This window comes from Homo sapiens, chromosome 3 (genome assembly GCF_000001405.40).
Source record: "Homo sapiens chromosome 3, GRCh38.p14 Primary Assembly".
In the NCBI taxonomy this organism is placed as follows: Eukaryota; Metazoa; Chordata; class Mammalia; order Primates; family Hominidae; genus Homo; species Homo sapiens.
Window position 1 is genome coordinate 155199192 of NC_000003.12, and position 22265 is coordinate 155221456.

Genomic DNA, 22265 nt, shown 5'->3' on the forward strand with positions numbered 1-22265 from the left:
TAGCTCTTTTGTTGTTGTTGCTATTTATCTCTTTCAAAAAAGCTTTTCCATTTGTGCTTGACTCAGGTATAACATAGCAATCAAAGGAATCACAGTAAATCTGTATTCCCACAGCTCATGAAGCATTCAGTTTCTCTCCACTAGACCTTGTACTACCCTGTCCCTTCAGGGCCTAACTCAACATTCCCAAGAAATTTCTACTTCTTATTCACCTTACTTTACACTATTGTTTGACAATAATATGCAACTGTTATGATTTAAATTGTGTCCCTCCAAAAGATGTTGAAGTCCTAACCCACAGTACTTGTGAATGTGACCATGTTTGGAAATAGAATCTTTGCAGATAAGGCGAGGTCATTAGGTAGCCCCTAATCCAGTATAACTTGTGTCATTATAAGAAGGGGAAATTTGAGGCCGGGTGCAGTGGCTCACGCCTGTAATCCCAGCACTTTGGGAGGCCGAGAGGGGGCGGACCACAAGGTCAGGAGTTCGAGACCAGCCTGACCAACATGGTGAAACACCATCTCTACTAAAAATACAAAAATTAGCTGAGCGTGGTGGCATGCACCTGTAATCCCAGCTACTTGGGAGGCTGAGGCAGAAGAATCTCTTGAACCCGGGAGACGGAGTTTGCAGTGAGCTGAGATCATGCCATTGCACTCCAGCCTAGGAGACAGAACGAGACTCCATCTCAAAAAATAAATAGAAGGGGAAATTTGGACACCAAGACAGACATGCAGGGAGAATGCCCATGTGAAGATGAAGGCAGAGACTGGGAAACCAAGTCAGGAAACACCAAAGACTGTCAGCAAACCACCAGAAGAAGCTAGGCGAGAGGCATGGAACAGATGCTTCCTCACAGCCTTGCTGACACCTTGAACTTGGACTTCTAGCTTCCAGAACCTGAGATAATTTTCTGTTGTTTAGGCCACCATGTTTGGTGTACAGCAGCCCCAGGAAATTAAGACAGCCATCATTTAGTAAACACTAAGACATGGGGCAAAAGCAAATAGCTGCAAATTACATAACACAAAATTATTCAGAAAAATAAAAAATTCAGAAGGCAAAAGTAATACAATATTTGATCGATATTTACTCTACTCTGATCACTACTGTATTTAGAAAATGAGGCCATCAGACATAAGCAAGTATTTTAATTACATGAATTGCTTACAATATAAAAGCTTTTAGTCTGATAAGTGATTTTAATGCTTCCTAGAACTGTATTTTCCAAGATTCAAGCATATGATATTGACAAATGTATTTTTAATTCACAGAGGAAATTGATATTGCTCAGAAACCGAAAGATGTTTAACTAATACAACTCAGTCATAAATTTCAGCTCAGTGCAGGCAGGTCGTGATTTTGGTGATCCAAGGAGTGAACAGTGACAGGCTTCCTAGATACCTTTTCTTAGAACCTTCAGCACTAGCCTCCAACAGCCCAATCCTGGTCATGCTTTCATATGCATTTCTAGTTTGCTTTAAAAAAGCACAAAGGGAATAGAATTCAAACAGTGTGGAAAATAAGATTGTGTTTTACTCAACCCAATTCAATTCGTTGGCAAATATTGAACTTCATTTGTGAGTTACACAGAAAATTGCCAGAGAGTTGAGATAACTGTGTTTCCACTGTGTATCACATAAGGTTAGTTGGCACCAAGAAAAGAAAAAGAGAACACGATCGTAGCTTATATAGATCAGCACATTCTGTAGGTATTTTTCATCAGTCATCAAACACCATATTTTTTCTGGCCCCAGCTCATTGGAATACATTATTCAAGAAACTATTTAAAAATTAACTGAGCAACTATTAAATTTTTATTTGTTCAACAAATACTTATTTTGCTTCTAGTGTGGGCCAGGCACTGTCCTAGGACACCATGGTAAACAGAACTGATATAATTTCTGCCCTCATAAAAACTACCCTTGAGCTCTTGTGTTTGGTACAAAGGGAGTGCTTATAAAATGTAATATTCCAACAAGAACTTTATGGTGTATTGTAACAGCCAGCCCTACATGGATCTCTCAATTGACAGTATAATATACAACACAGGATTAATGACCCAATAGTGACATTAATAATTATATCTTAGTTAAGTAAAGAAGATTATTGTTTGAAACAGACTCCTGTTGCTTTCCTGCCTGGAACCCCCTTCTTCTAGGAAGTGGCCCATTCCCCATTCGACATCCATAACTAAAGCAGAGGCAGCTATGTTTCAATGTGACCCTGCCCCCAAGACTATACACATCACCTACAATCATTGCTGATGTAACATGGATTGTGATAACTGCTAAGATTGAAGTGAAACTCAGAAGCAGCTAAAGTTTTCCTGTCCCTTGAAATCTAGAGAAGATTGACATAAATCCCTTTTTTTTTCCTTGACTAATGAGCACCTGCAGCCTTGACTTTCTGCTCTGTCAACTTCTTATTTTTAACTCTATGCCTTTTTAGTGTATATTTATTTCCACTACTTTTAAACCAAATATGCCTCTCCAAAATAAATAAAATAACTACATTTTCATGAGGCTTTTGAATGTGCGGCATACTTCACTGAAAGCTTTAGAAATACAGATGGGATGCACAATATAAGGATACAAATGCCCTGAAATTAAGTATTGACATCCCTGTTGTAAGTCTTTAAGCTGCTCTGCCGTGTTAGTCAACTATTTTTGCCCAGTCTCCTCTACCCGCTAATTTCTATTCATTTCTCATTCACAATCATTGGACCATTTATTTTGTTGCCGGAACTTTTGCTAATATGTTACTTATTTTGGGGATTATGAAGACCTTTTCCCAAACAAAGGTGATTTCTTTCCTAAGAATAATTCTGTTACCTGGTAATGAGATTTTTTTTTTTACTCCACTACAGACTATTTATCAAGTACTTTAGGAAAATATGAAAAGGAAACAGTCATGTTGAGAAGGTTTAAGTGAGGAAGCAACAGTTAATTGGGTTTTCAAGGATTAACAAGCTTCTTCAGGCTCATTCAAAAATGAGATCAGGGGTGTGCTGAGTGGAACACATAACATAAGAAAGCATAGAGCAATGTAAGAATACAGAGCAGGGGCCAGGAGCCTTAAGTGATAGTCCAGGCATCTCCCAAGTAGAACTCCAGGACAAATTGAAAAGGTGCTTTGTAGTGAGAGAGGGAGAGCTCTATAAAATGGTCTTGAAAGAAACATAGATGAATGCATAGAAGTACAGCTTTATTATGGATCCCCAAAAGTTTTTGCTCATCATGAAATGAAGAATCTTTGTTTCAAGATATCAGCTTTAGAACTTTGTATCGATTCAATGACACACGTTAGATACTTAGTATGTGATAGGCACACTGTTAAGAATTGGTGATACAAGATAAATAAATGCTCTGAAAGCTAATGTACTGGGAAGAATCTAGTGCAAAACTTCCTACCCAGGGTACTAGGAAGGATATAACACCTGTATCTGTAAATGCTTCAAGATATTGATCTCTTCAGTCTTTGGGACAACTAGGAGGAAACTGGAGTAGCCAGAATCTATATCTGTTTCCAGCCACAAGCACACCTTCTCGTTGACATCAATGTGCAATGCAAACATCTCATGCTGTGGATGCGGTTAAGAAGCACTGGCAGAGAATTATGTTGCCATTGCGCAAGTCCAGATGAGCTGAATGAGGCTGCAGCTGTGGTGATGGCAAAGCACACATGGACTTGGGAGCTACTTATGAGGCAGAATCAACAGATGTTGCTAATTGAGTTCTTGTGGGAGGTAAGGATGAAGGAGAGGACAATGGATTCAGCACGAGAGGTATTTAGAAGGAGGGGTTTCTACAATATGCCATCCATCAGGGAGGAGTAGAGAAAAGTTTGGAGAATTTAAAATGGTTGAACCTGGTTCCTGGGGGAGAGATTTTATAGCCCAGAACTGGTGAGAAGTTCTGAATTGCAATCATTTGTTTTCTTTAAACTTTTCCCTTGAACCTCCCTAAAATATGAACTGACATAGTCTTAGCAATATCTCAGAAGGGGACATCAGAATTGGAAGTTTTTGTTTGTTTGTTTGTTTTTTGGGTTTCTTTTTTTTTTTTTTTTTTTTTAAGACAGAGACTTGCTCTGTTGCCCAGGCTGGAGTGCAGTGGCGCAATCTCGGCTCACTGTAAGCTCCACCTCCTAGGTTCACACTATTATCCTGCCTCAGCCTCCCGAGTAGCTGGGACTACAGGCGCCCGCCACCATGCCCAAATTTTTGTAGTTTTAGTAGAGACGGGGTTTCACCATGTTAGCCAGGATGGTCTCGATCTTCTGACCTCGTGATCCGCCCGCCTTGTCCTGCCAAAGTGCTGGCATTACAGGCATGAGCCACCGTGCCCTGCCAGAATTGGGTTTTTTATAGGACTTTCAGGTCGAAGCTCAAGTTGTTTAAGGTGAGGGTGGGGCTTTCAAAGTGAGGAACTGATTGGGATTCAGCAGAGTCTGTGACATAATAGTTTAAGATTGGTGGGTCCAGCAAGGCAAGGGTCTTAAGACCAAACTTGATATGTAAACCGTGATAAGCAAGAATTTGCCCAGATGAGCAGATTGTTGTCTCCAATTAGTTGATATGTAGGAATTCCCTGAAACAAATAGAAAAGTTATTTATTGGTTAGAGTATTTCTTCCCAAGACAAAATTTTCCTGAAACAAACAACAAAATCATGTTGACTTAGATTGTCTATAGTTTTGTTGTCATAGACAGTCTCAGTTATCACTCTCAACTTTCTAAAAAATGTTGTTTTATGTCTACATCCAACTAGGATGAAACTTAGCTACTATGTCTAGTTACCAGAACCTCCCCATCCACCTAAGACAAGAAATCCCTCAAGTAAATCCTGAGTAAACACACCCACCTCTACTCCACTCCTGGCTGTGAACATGAATTTTTGCAGTAAGGTAATGACTAAGTGCTTTGTAAGTGATGGTGTGGACTGAAGACACAAAGGAAATTAAAGACAGCAGGTTTTTTTGTTTTGTTTTGTTTGAGATGGAGTTTTGCTCTTGCTGCCCAGGCTGGAGTGCAATGGCACGATCTCAGCTCACTGCAACTTCTGCCTCCCAGGTTGAAGCCATTCTCCTGCCTCAGCCTCCCAAGTAGCTGGGATTACAGGTGCCTGCCACCACACCCAGCTAATTTGCGATTCATTTTTCACAGAGACAAGGTTTTTCCATGTTAGCCAGGCTGGTCTTGAACTCCTGACCTCAGATGATCCACTGGCCTCAGCCTCCCAAAGTGCTGGGATTACAGGCGTAAGCCACTGTGCCCGGCCAAAGACAGCAGGTTTTAAGGGCTGTCGTTTTAACAGGTTGCAAGGCTGCTAGAGAAAATTATATAATATAGACTGCATGGTTCCCAACACCACATGAGCTCTCAAAGCTATCTGGAATCTTTCTATATTTTCTTAATAGGTTTATTTCTCATTTTCCATGAGAGGAATTTCATGCATTCTCCAGTTTCCTCATAACTCTAAATTGACTATCCCCTTTTACTCTCAGCATATGACCTTGGTTACTACTTCAAAGATAAAAGAGAATCAAGTGGATTTAGACTCAAGTTGAGTTACTGCCATCTAAGTTAAAACTTACTGTCAGGTGTGGTGACCCACACCTGTAATCCAAGCACTTTGGGAGCCCAAGGCAGGAGGATTGCTTGAGTCTAGGAGTTTGAGACCAGCCTGGGTAACTCAGTAGACCCCATCTGTATAAAAAGTAAAAACAAATAAACAGTTAAAATTTACAAGTATCTGCATTTATCCTTTTCTACTTCTCTCCTATTGAATTGGAGGAGATAGCATTCCTCCTTCTTTATCTGAAGCTTGCTTATCTCCTCAAGTGCATTGTTCTATTCATTATCTCCACACCTCCATGTATACTCCTTTTCTTCTTAATTGAATCTCTGTCTTCTGGTTATCTTTTTGCCAGTTTGCCACTTCTTTCAATTTCTTCTTCAGCTACTTAATCCTTTGACTATTTTGTAAATACTTGTCCTCCTCACAGTTCTGTCCAAAAGTGTCTTTTCTTCTTATTCTCTGTGCTCTTCTTTCATAATCTTCTCTCTATGTATGCCTTGAACTGTCAACTGGAACTCTCAACTTTATGTCATCTATATAGTTGTCTCTCTAGAGCTCTACTCTACACATTTGAACATACATGTTTAATTGGCTATTGTCCTTTCATATGAAACTCAATATGTCTAAAATGGAACCAGATACTTTTCCCTTGGAATCTGCCTCTCTTCATATCTTTGAGAATGATGCTATCATTCATGCCATTACACCCAGTACCTGGCTGTCTTTTTTACTCCTTTTCTGTCATCAATTCCCGTATTCAGTCAATCACTAAATTCTGAATTCTATGGAATTTAATATCTCCTACATGTCTGCATGTCACCATTTCACTGACTCTTCCCTAGTTTAAGCCAATATTACATGGGTTGCTGCAATCACCTTTCATTATCCATTCTTATCCCTTCTAATCTATTCTACAATGCAGTCCTGCATATAACTCTTAATGTCTCTTTGTTTCTCTTTGATAAGCTGCATAATTCTAACCAGAGTTTATTAGGCATTATTTGATCTTTTCTGAATAATTTCTTTTTTAGCCACAAGCTTTTGTGGTGTTCATATATATATATATATATAGAATATCACATATATATATATATATATAGACATCCAGGACAATGTTATAGCAAACATCCAGTGCAGTGCAGATGGTCAATAATATTTGTTGAATAAATAGTTGAATAATGAAATCCTATATTTTTTGATCTCTTTAGATGGCTCTACTCTCTGATATTCTCTTACCTTAAAGAAAATCTAGGACAGGTAATCTAGGACAGGTCTAACCCCTCAAAGAAGTTACAGCTCTTTCATCCTAACATGTCTTCCATATTGGTATCTCAACTCAAAGCGTTTTCTGTAAAAGGATCTGGCTGATCTCCCAGATATCAATGTTTAAATCAAGGCAAGGTCTAGCTTCTCTCTGTCTTCATTTTTCTCACTGTCATCCCTCAGCAGTTTGTCCCACCCTCTTTTTTTTCTTTTCTAGTGCTTCTGGATTTTGTATTTTTTAATTTTTACTTTTATGAAGTTAAATCTGTGCATCACGTAGAAAGTCAAATAGCTTCACAAAACTTGTTAAGAAAAACAGCAATTTCCAGCCCTCTAGCCTATTTCCCACACTCCAGAGCAACCACTTACAAAATTTTTAGCTTTCTAAATGGCATGTTTGAACTGCTACTTTTTGACATTTTATTTTTGACCATTATCTATTGATTTCCCACCATGGAAGAAGAGAATTAACTCTTAAACACACACACACACCCCATTACACACCTGTACACTTCCTTTCCCCCTCTTCTCCAATAGTCAAACTCTTTCCACAATTGAGTCATGTAGTCAGCTCAGAGAACTTTTCCTTCCCTGCATATAGTTTTGCTTCCATGGAGTTAGTAATTTTCTTGCTTTAAAATTTGTTTGGTTTCCTATATACTCCTGATTAGTTCAACCCCAAACTCTCCACTAATTGTCTAAAGCTCCTCTCTATACTTTGCAGTAGATATTATACCAATTTCATCTACTGGAAGAAATTTCTCATGGAGTTTTCCTCCCTAGTTTATTCTAGATGGATTGCACCTTGTTCTCAGTGCAGAATATTTGCCCAAGAATCCTTTTTTCTATCATCATGGAGATTCTTCCTGGCTCTTGTTTCTCCATGTTTACCTTGAATACACTTAACCCGGGAAATAAAAAAATAACCTGGGAAGCTAAAAAACCCTGATGCCTAGGTTTCCTCACAGACCGATTAACTCAGAACATTTTGAGACAGAATGCATCATAGCACTGCAGTCAATTCCAATGAATAGCTAACGATAAAAACCACTAGTCCATCTAAATCTTTCTTTGGGTACTTTCTAATTTTGGTGGAGCACATCCTCCAGAAGCTCTGAGAAAGAACACATAAGAGCAAATTTAGATACTTTGCTTTTCTGAACATGCTTTTATTTTATTCTCCACTTGACTTATAACTTAACTAATGTAGAATTCATACTGAAAAATATTTTTTTTTCTCCAAAGTTGTGATGGCATTGCTCCACTGTCTTCTAGCTTTCAACGATACTTTTGAGAAATTGGAAGACATTCTGATTCCTGATCTTTTGCATATAATCTGTGTTTTTCTCTCCCGATGTTGATGGGATCTTTCTCTTGCCTCAGTATTCTAAAAAATGTTTTAATGATTGCCATAGTATGGGTCTATTTTTACCAATTTTCTTGCATATTCATAGCCCCTTCTAATCTTGTAACTTGAGTCTTTTAATTCAGGGAAATTTTCATAAATTTCTCCATTAATGACGACTTCTTCTTCTTCTTCTTCTTCTTCTTTTCTCTCTCTCTCTCTCTTTAATTCTGGAACTCATTTTTTAGACGCTGGATCTTCTTAATCAATACTCTTCTTGACTCCTATACTGTTATTTTCTCTCCTAGTTTCCATTTCTTTTTCTTTCTTTTCTTTTTTTCTTCTTTGAGACAAGATCTGGATCTGTCACCCAGGCTTGAATGCGGTGGTATGATCGTGGGTCAGTGCAGCCTTGACCTTCTGGGCTCAAGCAGTCCTACCACCTGTAAACCAAAAAGTATCTGAGACAGGTCTCAGTCAATTTACTTTATTTTCCCAATGTTAAGGACATGCCTGGAGGAAAGGAACACAGAATCACAAAAACAGTTTGTAGTCTGTGCCTTTCTCCAAAGATGATTGAGGACTTCAGTATTTAAAGGGGAAAAGTGAGCTGAGGGGAAAGAGGGAGGTATGGTTACACTACTGAATCCACATGTTGCAGGAGAAAAGGTGCAGTTGGGGAAAAGTCAATTGTGTATTCATCTGGCACTCAGTAAATTGGCAGTTTACATTACATAAGGTGAACATAGAGTAGCTACCTGTGGAGATATCTAACCTTTTTTCTGTAACTATCTGCTTAGGAACAAAATGAAAGGCAGTTTCTTGCATGACTCAGCTTTCAGCTTAATTTTTACCTCTTGGCACAGTGAATTGAGGTCCTGAGATTTTATTTTCCTTTCACACACCTCAGCCTCCTGGGTAGCTTGGATGATAGACGTGCACCACCTGCCTGGCTCTCAGTTTCCATTTCTAAGTCTTTTTGGTCTATATTATGGGGTGTTGTGTCCTCTCTCCCCTCCCACCCCTATTCATATGTTGAAGTCCTAACCCTAAGTACCTCAGAAGGTGGTATTTGAAGATAGTGTCTTTAAAGAGGTAATAAAGTTAAAAGGAGGTCATTAGGGTGGGTTTAATCTGATATGACTAGTGTCTTTATAAGAAGGGAAATTTGGACACAATCACACACAGTGGAGGGGGTGGGGATGCCATCTGAACATGAAGATAACCACCTACAAGCCAAGGGGAGAAGCCTTCAAAGGAACCAAGCTTCTTGACACCGTGGTCTCAGACTTCGAGCCAGATCTGTGAGAAAATAAATTTCTATTACTTAAGCAACCCAGTCTGTGGCACTTTGTTATTGCAGCCATAGCAAACGAATACAGTTTGCTTTTCAGGACTTTTCTCAACTTGATTTCCCAACATTAATCTTAAATTTTTCTTATATTCACTTTCACATTTTTTATGTTTAAGGTTCTTTTTTGTTCTCTGAATGTTCCTTTTGCAATAGCATCTTGCTCATGTTTCAAGGATACGATATCTTTTCCTGTCTCACCCAGGATGTTTATGGTAGTTTTCCTCTTCATTTTTTCATGTTTCTGCATAGTTTTGGTTTCCTCTAAGTTATCTATTTTGTGTATATGTGTTTGTTTTAGTTTTTGTCTTTCATGGTAACAGTTTTCTTCAGGTATCTGATTGTCTGCTCATATTTAAGAGTAAGGCTATTTTTTTAAAAAAAGCTGATTTGACAGTCTGCCTGGTAGATGGGGGTTATTGACTATGGTCTCATGCCCTTTGTTCTTTAACCCAAGGGGTTGAAAACTGACAACCCACAGGCTGAGTCTGAAACAAACGTGTTTGTGTTTTGTTTTTCAAGTAGATTTGGATTCCTTTAAGTAAGTATGTTACGTTTAACTACCCATCAACCCCACAAATGCTTTTTGATTGCAACTAATTTAAGGTTTAAAACTTTTACCTAACTTTTTTTTTCTTTTATTATAGAGACAGGGCCTTACTATGTTGCCCAGGCTGGTCTGAAACTCCTGGTTTCAAGTGATCCTTCCACCTTGGCCTCCCTGAGTGCTGGGATTACAGCCATGAGCCACCACACCAAACCCCTAACATTTTTTTCTACCAGTCAAAATCTTCCTTATTCTTTTTTTTTTTTTTTTTTTTTATACTTTAAGTTTTAGGGTACATGTGCACATTGTGCAGGTTAGTTACATATGTATACATGTGCCATGCTGGTGCGCTGCACTCACTAACTCGTCATCTAGCATTAGGTATATCTCCCAGTGCTATCCCTCCCCTCTCCCCCCACCCCACAACAGTCCCCAGAGTGTGATATTCCCCTTCCTGTGTCCATGTGATCTCATTGTTCAATTCCCACCTATGAGTGAGAATATGCGGTGTTTGGTTTTTTGTTCTTGCGATAGTTTACTGAGAATGATGATTTCCAATTTCATCCATGTCCCTACAAAGGACATGAACTCATCATTTTTATGGCTGCATAGTATTCCATGGTGTCTATGTGCCACATTTTCTTAATCCAGTCTATCATTGTTGGACATTTGGGTTGGTTCCAAGTCTTTGCTATTGTGAATAATGTCGCAATAAACATACATGTGCATGTGTCTTTATAGCAGCATGATTTATAGTCCTTTGGGGATATACCCAGTAATGGGATGGCTGGGTCAAATGGTATTTCTAGTTCTAGATCCCTGAGGAATCGCCACACTGACTTCCACAATGGTTGAACTAGTTTACAGTCCCACCAACAGTGTAAAAGTGTTCCTATTTCTCCACATCCTCTCCAGCACCTGTTGTTTCCTGACTTTTTAATGATTGCCATTCTAACTGGTGTGAGATGGTATCTCATCGTGGTTTTGATTTGCATTTCTCTGATGGCCAGTGATGATGAGCATTTTTTCATGTGTTTTTTGGCTGCATAAATGTCTTCTTTTGAGAAGTGTCTGTTCATGTCCTTCGCCCACTTTTTGATGGGGTTGTTTGTTTTTTTCTTGTAAATTTGTTTGAGTTCATTGTAGATTCTGGATATTAGCCCTTTGTCAGATGAGTAGGTTGCGAAAATTTTCTCCCATTTTGTAGGTTGCCTGTTCACTCTGATGGTAGTTTCTTTTACTGTGCCTACTCTGGGCCCCACCAAGTTTCATATCCCCATTAGAGCCCTCACCACAGTCTTCCTCATTGTGCGAGATATTTGATGTGTATGTGGGACACTCCATAAGACTACGCATATTGTCTTCTTTGAAGAAAGGACTCTTTTAGGCATATTATTATCTCATACAGTAGCTTTGGTAAATGCTCAATAAAAGGTTTCTTGAAAACCTTCGTGCTCAATCGGGCAGGGGTTGAAGGAAGGAAAAGACAAGGGAGCATAATTTGATTATCTTCCTAGAATGCAACTGCTTGAGTATTTGATTATTAAAATTAGGAACTACAGTTTTTCCACCTAATTAAGCAGCATGCCGGCCAAATGACAATGTGGCTTTAATATACTTTCAGATGATCACACAGATTATAATCTGTTTCACATGATAGAACATTTCTCATGCTGGAACAACAGAAAGAAGGAAAAACAAAGCCACAACATATCTAAGTGAAGAAATATTTCTGCATTTGAAAAGGCAGTTTTTCCTCATTTGTGATTATCTGCTCTTTCAGAACTCAAAGCAGCTAAAGCATAAATCTTGGCACATCTGCCAAGGTGTCTATGTCAAGAAATCATAGTTTGTGGTAAATGTTTTGAAAGCAGTTTTCAGGTATCTGAGGCCTTAGCATTTCTGCTACTTTTGTTTCACTCTGGCCTTAATTATAAAGTATCTTTCATGTTCCTAAGAAGCATGGATTTTTGCCACGCATTGCATCCATTTCCATTTAAAGCTCCAGGACACAATCCACATTCTCCCATCCATTACTGAACTAGGCTTTTTCTTTTTTATTCAGCTACTCATGCTAGCCCAATTAAGCAAGATTAGCTAACTCTTTGTTCCTATTAATCTTTCCCTCCCACGATGATTTGAACATTGTCGTTTTTTAATTATTGAGAAAGCCCTGGGAGTTACCAAATATAGACTCATTCATGTGAACAGTAAACAAAGTATGTTTGGATTCACACAAATTTATGACTCTGGAAAGACCATGAAGAACCAGATGGATTTTAAGCACTGTATCTCCAAGTACTACTCTTAAACTGGATATGGTGATTAAGGGCAGACTGTGGTACAGGTGGCCTGGATTCCCATCTAGCTACTGCTACATACAACTGGGTGGCCTTGGGAATTATTTAGCCTCTCTATAAGCCCCAGACACCATCAGTGAAATGGACAAAATAATTGCATCTACTTCAGAAGATTTTTGTGAAGATCAAACAGAATAATATGCTTGGCACACCTTCTGCAAATATTAGTTGCTTTTTTTTAATTAATGAGAGCAACAAGGCTGAAACAGGGTATCATACAAATTAACTGAAAGAATAATTGTACATAGTTGTAGAAATGTGTTAGACTTCTATACCTGCCAAATACAAAGCTAAAATAAATGTGTTGAATTAAATAAAAATATTCAGAACTTTATGTTTAAACAAATAATTTTTAATACAACATCTGGGAACAAGAGTTATAAAGGAATTGGCAGCAGATGACTTCTAATTCTTTTATTTTTATAATGACAACCTTACAAGTAAAGCAATAAACTGCCAGGTCAAAACCAGTTTTTCAAGAATCTTTTGTTTTCATTACAAACTTAAATTTAATGGGTCCAAAATTCAAATGTCCCCTGCCTCCCAACAGTGTATATCATGGCTCAGTGCAGAGTCAGCCCACTCAGAGTAAGGGGCCCAGCTGAAAATGACAAAGGCCACTGATAACCCAAACTGGACAAAGCAATAAAACTTTGCCTAAGAGAGAATTTGCTTAACAGCTGTTATTTTGGGAGGGGTGAGTGGGGGTCAGGGTTAAAAAAAAAAAGGAATATTTTGAAGGTGGGTGTACTTTACAAAATGTACTTTGCTTTCTGTGTGTTCATTTTGTTTGGTCAAATTTGGTGGTGAGTTTACATATACCATATGCAACAACCTGTGTTGGTTTTCCTAAGTATTGGGATAAACTACTTTATTAAATTAAATCTGAATTAGTTTTTCCTTAACTGTCATTCCCAGAATATTGTTCCTCAACTATTAATAAATATACTAGAAGAAAGTATAATAGCAGAAATAAATTTAAAATAGAGATGTTTACTATGTGTATTTATCAGTACATCCAGTGTTTTACATTAGCACACAAAAAACTCTAACATAGTCTGTAGTGCGGCTGGGTACAGTGGCTCACGCCTATAGTCTCAGCACTTTGGGAGGCCGAGGAGGGCAGATCACGAGGTCAGGAGTTCGAGACCAGCCTGACCAACATGGTGAAACCCCATCTTTACTAAAAATACAAAAATTAGCTGGGTGTGGTGGCGGGTGCCTGTAATCCCAGGTACTCGGGAGGCTGAGGCAGGAGAATCGCTCGAACCCAGGAGGCAGAGGTTGCAGTGAGCCGAGATCGCGCCATTGCACTTCAGCCTGGCAGATAGAGCAAGACTCCATCTCAAAAAAAAAAAAAAAAAAGATAGTATACTCTATAGTGAAGAAGTCTATTTTGGTTTCCTTAATCCAGGAATTATTTGAGGCCGAAATCCATTTTTCCCAGCACACCTTTTAGCATTTTAGGAAACACAGTTTGCAGAATTCCAATTTGGGTATACATTGTTTACATTTGGGCAGGGCCTACCTTGCAATTCATTGAAAAGCTGTCAGGCTGAAAACTGTCAGGGTTCTACATATTAAGATAATAATAATCATTATGATAATAATTAATGATAATAATAATTAGGGAAAATGCTTCTTCCTCACCCCCTACCTTTTTTCCCATGAGGAGGATTTCTCTTCAATACCTCTGGCCTCTTGTCCCACCCTTGACTCCTTCCCTTGGGGAAGAGCTTTTATTAGGGAACAGCCGTTGGCCAATGTTTCTCAGTAGAGTAGAAGTTATGTATCAAAAGTGGAAGCAATAAAAGACATCAAGCCTCTTCTCTTTCCTCTGCATCTGGACCAAGGGTAATTAGTAACCTGGATTAAGTGCGCCTCTAAAGCAAAATTTCCCTCAGGTAAGCTGTTCCAAGCCTGATAATGGGATAGGCACTTAGCAAGCCCATTTTGTTGGTCAAACTAAGTTGTGTCTTGCAACCTAGCCCTTATCATTGATAATGGTGATATTTTAGTTCTCCTTGGAATAATTCTAATTTAACTGGTTCAGAAATTGGGCAACAAAATGAGGTATTATTTTGGGCCTCCTTTCAAAACCTCAATAGCATGTATCATTAATTCTGCATGATCCTTTTAGTGCATTATCTCATTTAATCCTCACAACAACCTATAAAGGTAGACACTAGTATATCCTTATTTTACAAATGAGAAAATTGAAAGAAAGGTTAAGTAACTTACCAGAGGTGACTGATTTTGTCATTCATATAACATGCAAATTATTTAATTGTACTATAACTAGTGCATCTTATAGGATTTTTTTTTTTTACCTCTCAATTCCTCCTCTCTTGCATATATTGATCTATAAGGCCAATCTCAGTTATATGGAATGATGAAGACAGAAAACGTAACCTTGGTCAATGAGTAAGATATTCTAGTAAGGTCTAAATCAGAAATTTCAAATGGACAGCAGCCCACAGATATGTTTCATTTGGCTCCCAAACTGTTAAAGATTTGTATTAGTTATTAATATAAAATATAAATTTAGAGCTTTTCTCAAAAAATGTAAAGATCTGGGTAGCAATGAGCTGGAGCTGAAGAGCTGTTGTCCCCTTTGGATGGGGCATATGCAGCACAGTCACCTTGGGCCCCACTGTGTCACTTGGCTTAACTACTTTGCCTCTATGTGCTCTTGTAAACATTCAATTTGCAGCCCTGGTGCCAGCTAGGTGGCCTCCTACTCCTACCCATTCATTCCTGTAGAATATCAGGGCCATTGCAAGAATTCTGGAGGCTGGATGTCAATGTCTGTGACCAGGCCACTAACTGAATAGTAGGTGTCTTGATGTGCAACAGCTGAGCTATGAGTGGCAGCTCTTCAGAATGGTGCACCATTCAATGTGGGTGCTCATTTCAATCCCTTAAGCAAAAAAGTTCAAGTTGCACCCTGTAGAGACTTCAGGCAGTGAGAAGAGCAGTTGGACTGTCCGGGGTCTGTGTCCACTACACACTTGGTCTGGATCTGCTTTAGGTATAGGATATCTGTGTAAATGTTCTTAAATTATGAGCTCCTGGCCAGGCGTGGTGACTCACACCTGTAATCCCAGCACTTTGAGAGGCTGAGGTGGATCACCTGAGATCAGAAGTTCGAAACCATCCTGGCCAACATGGCAAGACCCTGTCTCTACTAAAAATACAAAAATTAGCCAGACATGGTGGTGCATGCCTGTAATCCCAGCTACTCAGGAGGCTGAGGTAGGAGAATTGCTTGAACCCAGGAGGCGGAGGTTGTGGTGAGCCAAGATCGTGCCACTGCACTCCAGCCTGGGTGACAGAGTGAGACTCTATCTCAAAAAAAAAAAAAAAAATTATGAGCTTCTTGGGCACTAAATATGTTGTGAAACTATTGCCCTTGAGCCTTCTATATTTTCACCTCCCACAGTGACTTTTCTTTCTGTATCAGTGTCTTTTACGCAGTAGTTGCTTAGTAAAGGTTTGTTGAATGAGCAAATGAATAGATAGATTGTGAATTCTAGAGGTGGATTATTGTCCCTCCCTTAAGAAATGTTTATTTGAACAAGTGATAAATACCTCACTGAGGTCTCTTTCCGCCCAGTTGTTAGGATCTGTTCCTCATTCTCATCATCATCTCATCACCAGGATGAGCAAAGCCTTTTCCCATTAAGGTTAGGTATTACCTCTTCCAGGGGATTTTACATTCAAAGGATTCTATAATAGTAACATGAAAAATCTGTCTCCTTTTGTAGGGATATCAAGCATCAGAAAGCAGGTAGTCAACATTTGTATTTGTGGGGCAGCCTGAAGTCCTTCAGGATACCTTTCTCACTCTAAAATCAGGTTTTATGAACCTGAATTTAAAAGCAAAAAAAAAAAATTTAAGTGCAGATTTTCAAAAAAACATGACATATTTAAACATGCACAATCACAAAATCACAGTATATTAGCTGGAGTTGAAAATAACGTTAGAATAAAATCACCAATGCAATTTTCTGTCAGGGAGATCATTGCATTGAAATGCCACCTGTGCCTGAATATTGTAAATATCAATTTGTGGAATGGCTGTACAATGTTAAGTACAGTGCGTTCTTGAAAAAGCTGATCATTGAAAAGTTAACATTGAATTTTAATAAGAGAAATACTTAAATTGTTCTTTAGTGTAACATAAACCTGTTGGAGAGGCATGTTCTGGGAGTAATGGCAAAGTGACACCATTTTTTTTAATTTAAGTTTTGGAATACATGTGCAGAACGTGCAGGTTTGTTACATAGGTATACGTGTGCCATGGTGGTTTGCTGCACCTATCAACCCGTCATCTAGGTTTTAAGCCCCGCATGCATTAGGTTTTTGTCCTAATGCTCTCCCTCCCCATGCCACTGACCCCCCAACAGGTCCCGGTGTGTGATGTTCCCCTCCCTGTGTCAATGTGTTCTCATTGTTCAACTCCCACTTATGAGTGAGAACATGCAGTGTTTGGTTTTCTCTTCCTGTGTTAGTTTGCTGAGAATGACGGTTTCCTGCTTCATCCATGTCCCTGCAAAGGACATGAACTCATCCTTTTTTATGGCTGCATAGTATTCCATGACGGCAAAGTAACACCTTTTTAAATTTTTACTTTCTGATTAAGAATATTCACTCCCACTTTACCAGAATTGGCTTACATTAATTATTTGATTGGGCTGAAAGGTTATATGCAAATCTTTAACAGTCATGTGATTAGAAATGCCTCCCAAGCTGCCAAAGGTGCTGAAATAATCTAAGTAACTCAAACCAGAGATTTTTTATCTTGGGATTTCTTAAGGAATGTGCCATTCAGGACATTCAAATATTCAGTGAATAACTTTCTCAAATGTTACTGAAGTACTTACTGAGAGCCATTTTAAAGTTGGAAATAGGCTGGGTGTGGTGGCTCACACCTGTAATCCCAGCACTTTGGGAGGCTGAGGCAGGAGAATAGCTTCAGCCCAGGATTTGAAGACCAGCCTGAGAAATACAGTGAGACCCAGTCTCTAAAAAAAATGTAAAACTTAGCCAGGCTTGGTGGCACTCACCTGTAGTCCCAGATGCTCAGGAGGCTGAGATGGGAGGATTGCTTGAGCCCAGGAGTTTAAGACCTCCTCTCCACAAAAAGAAATTTAAAAATTAGGCAAGCATAGTGGTGTGCACCTGTAGTTCCAGCTATTCAGGAGGTTGAGGCAGGAGGATTGCCTGAGCCTGGGACACTGAGGCTGCAGTGAACTATGAGTGGGCGATTGCACTCACCTGGGCAACAGTGAAACCCCATCTTTAAATTTTTTTTAAAAAAAATTCTTAAATAAAGTTGAAAATATCATAATAGTAATTAACACAAACATGGGGTTTGAATAGCATTATTTTAAAGTGCACTAGACTTGGACAGCTAAAGAAAAACAGCTGGGCAGTTCCTAAAGGTTAAAGGCCCGGGAAATTTAAAGAAATTTGTTATTCCATCTTCCTTTAATAGAGGGAAAATCAGCCTCAAATAAGCATTCAGCTAAGGATCTAATTAGTCGCCTGGGACTATACTGAGCACTGGCAACTGAAGAGAGCATGGGTAGAGTGTTCCCATCACCAGGTAGCCCCCTACTTACAGTCAGGGCAGACATTAGCTAACCCAACCAGCCTTTCCAACACTCTTCTCACTTCCTGCTTCTACTACAAAGGCTGGCAAAGCTAAATACTCACTTTCTTGACCCACCCCACCTTGCATTTAGGAACAGCCAAGTGACACAGTTTAGACCAATGAGGCAACAGCAAGTGTTGTCTAGGATTTGGGCAAAGTTATTTTTTTAAATCTTTTTCTTATAAAAGCAATGGTTGCAACCATTTTCTCCTTTTCATTTCCCTTGTCTGGGGCTTTGGAAGCAATTTTGTGACATTGAATCTCCTAAGCAATGCCAGAGGCTCCTTCCTCGTGGTTACAGCACTGTGAAAATATTTATTTGCAGCTAAAATACATGGTTGAAGAATAGTAACACCTTTTCTTTGCGGTTTTTAGCCTATTTGAAATAACATTTCAGTAGATGGATTTCTCTGTCTCGGGGGAAAAAAGTAGTCTTTCAACATACTGCTTGAGGTAGCATGGCTGGTCCCGCTCTCACCCTGGAAAAATGCATCTGAAGGTCCCTGCAGTTCATTCATTACACAATCTTCTTCAGGAGTTTTCCTCTTGTGGTTGGTGTGCGATTTTCTATAGTTCCCTTCACTTTCATCTGAACAAAATGTTATTTTGATTTATGACATTATTCATCTGAGATCTGCCCATTCTTGCTTTTTCACAGAGGCTTTATCATATTTTTTTATATCTTAGATAGGAAATATAGTCCTCTGATTCATAATGAAACAGTATAGAAATTAATACAGTAAAAAGTCTTCTTCTCATTGTTAGGTCCAAGTGTTAAAAAATATTGTCAGATATTCCTCTTTTCAGTAAAACTATTAGCCACATGGTAATTGCAAAACAAAGAAAAAGATGTCTCAAGCCTACCAATCCCTGAATCCAATTTGCTCCCCTTATCCTCAACCATTTTATTAGTTTCTTATTTATCACAGAGATTTTTGTTTAGTTTCAAGATGTTTATTTTGAAAAATACACTTGTTTATATGTATGCATCTTTATATCTAGTAGCTAGTCAGTATTAATTCTTTGTCATATCCTGTAGGTTGACAGTATTTAGTTGATACCAATTCTCTTTTAGACCTCATGCCCAACACTTCTTTTCTTTTTTTTTTATTTCCAACTTATATCTTAAGTTCAGGGATACATGTGCAGGATGTGCAGATTTGTTACATGGGTAAACGTATCACAGAGATTTTAAATTCAAATACAAGATAATGCGAATGTGCACTCTTCTCTCTTTCCTACACAAAGGTTAGCCTACACATGTTGCTGTGAACCTTGCTTTCTTTGTGTAACCATATATCTTGGAGCCATTCCATATCCGTGCATGGTGTCCACATGTTTCTAGTGACAAAGTAGTACTCCCGTTCTTGAATGTCCGTGAGCTACTTAACCTGTCTTCTTTTGCTGGACACTTGGACCATTTCCAACAAACACTGCTGTAACAACCTCATACATACATCATCTTGCACGAGGGAGGGAATATTCATAGGATAAATACCCAGAAGTGACCTTGCTAAGTCAAAGGGTAAATGCAGAAAGGGGTCCCGATCCAGACCCCAAGGGGTTCTTGGATCTTGTACAAGAAAGAATTCAAGGCAAATTCAGAGCAAAGTGAAAGCAAGTTTATTAAGAAAATAAAGGAATAAAAGAATGACTACTTCATAGGCAGAGCAGCCCCGAGGGCAGCTGATTGCCCATTTTTATGGTTATTTCCTGACTGTATGCTAAAGAAGGGGTGGGTTATTCATGCCTCCCCCTTTTAGACCATATAGGGCAACTTCCTTTCATTGCCATGGCATTTGTAAATTGTCATGTCACTGGTGGGAGTGTAGCAGTGAGGATGACCAGAGGTCACTTTGGTTGCCATCTTGGTTTTGGTGGGTTTTAGCTGGCTCCTTTACTGCAATCTGTTTTATCAGCAAGGTCTTTATGACCTGTATCTTGTATTGACTTCCTATGTCATCCTGTGACTTAGAATGCCTAATGATCTGGGAATGCAGCTCAGCAGGTCTTAGCCTAATTTTATGTAGCCCCTATTCAAGATGGCATTGCCCTGGTGCAAATGCTTCTGACAGTTGTAATTCTGATCATTGGTGTCAAATTGCTCTCTAAAGGAGTTGTACCAATTTATATTCCCACTAGCAACATATGAATGTACCTGAAGGGAAACTTTTAGATTTTACCAATTCACTATGTGAGAGACGGTATCTTGATATAGTTTTAATTTGGATTTATTTTATTATGAGGAATAAACATTTTTTTAATGTAATTTCATTTCATTTTACATTCTGGGATACATTTGCAGGACATGCAGGTTTGTTACATCGGTAAACGTGTGCAATGGTGGTTTGCTGCACCTATCAATCCATCACCTAGGTGTTAAGCCCCACATTCATTAGCTATTTATCCTGATGCTCTCCCTCCCCCATCCCCCACAACAGGCCCCAGTGTGTGTTTTTCCTCTCCCTGTGTCCATGTGTTCCCATTGTTCAGCTCCCACTTACTAGTGAGAACATGTGGTGTTTGGTTTTCTGTTCCTGTGTTAGTTTGCTGAGGATAATGGCTTTCTGCTCCATCCATGTCCCTGCAGAGGAGATGATCCCATTCCTTTTTATGGCTGCATAGTATTCCATGGTGTTTATGTACCACATTTTCTTTATCCAGCCTATCATTAATGGGCATTTGGGTTGATTCTATGTCTCTGCTATGTGAATAGTGCTGCAACAAGCATATACGTGTTTGTGTCTTTATAATATAGAATTATTCATATTCCTCTGGGTATATACCCATATTGGGATTGGTGGACCAAATGCTATTTCTGGTTCTAGGTCTTTGAGGAATCACCACACTGTCTTCCACAATGATTAAACTAATTTACATTCCCACCAACAGTGTAAACGCATTCCTATTTCTTCACAGCCTCACCAGCATCTGTTGTTTCTTGACTTTTTAATAATCACCCTTCTGACTGGCATGAGATGGTATGTCATTGTGGTTTTGATTTACATTTCTCTAATAATCAATGATGTTAAGCTTTTTATCATACGTTTTTTGACCATATAAATGTGTTCTTTGGAGACATGTCTGTTCATGTCCTTTGCCTAGTTTTTAATGGGGTTGTTTGGTTTTTTTTTTCTTGTAAATTTGTTTAACTTCCTTATAGATTCTGGATATTAGACCTTTGTCAGATGGATAGATTGCAAAAATTTTTTCCCATTCTCTAGGTTGTCTGTTCACTCCGATGACAGTTTCTTTTACTTGCAGAAACTCGAGTTTAATTAGATCCTGTTTGTCAATTTTTGCTTTTGTTGCAATTGCTTTTGACACTTTCATCATGAAATCTTTGCCCATGCCTGTGGGAACTACAATTCAAGATGAGATCTGGGGGGGACACAGCCAAACCATATCAAATGGGGAAAGGATTCCCTATTTCATAACTAGTGCTGGGAGAACAGGCTAGCCATATGCAGAAAACTGAAACTAGACACCACTTCCTTATCCCTTATACAAAAATTAACTCAAGATCGATTAAAGACTTAAATGTAAAACCCCCCAAAATCCTAGAAGAATATCTAGGCAATACCATTCAGGACATAGGCAGGGGAAAGATTTGTCAAAGATCAGATGGACGTAGATGTGTAGTCTTATTTCTGAGATCTCTATTCTGTTCCATTGGTCTGTGTCTGTTTTGTACCAGTACCATGCTGTTTTGGTAACTGTAGCCTTGTAGTATAATTTGAAGTCAAGTAGTATGATGCCTCCAGTTTTGGTCTTTTTGCTTAGGATTGTCTTGGCTATACTGGCTCTTTTTTGGTTCCATATGAATTTCAAAATAGTTTTTCCTAATTCTGTGAAGAATGTTAATGGTAGTTTAATGGGAATAGCATTGAATCTTATAAATTACTTTGGTCAGTATGGCTGTTTTCATATTGATTTTTCCTATCCATGAGCATGGAATGTTTTCTGTTTGTTAGTGTCGTCTCCTATTTCCTTGAGCAGTGGTTTGTATTTCTTCTTGAAGAGCTCCTTCACTTCCCTTGTTAGCTGTATTCCTAGGTATTTTATTCTCTTTATAGGAATTGTGAATGGGAGTTCCTTCATGATTTCGTTCTCTGCTTGCCTATTATTGGTGTATAGAAATGCTTGTGATTTTTGT

General features: G+C 38.8%; 1 annotated feature.

Moving 5' to 3' along the window:
- Positions 19365–19565: a silencer, noted in NCBI's record as "peak4871 fragment used in MPRA reporter construct". NCBI's record gives its function as "represses an SCP1 promoter by STARR-seq MPRAs in K562 erythroleukemia cells {active_cell/tissue: K562}" and the evidence as "EXISTENCE:reporter gene assay evidence [ECO:0000049][PMID:32103011]".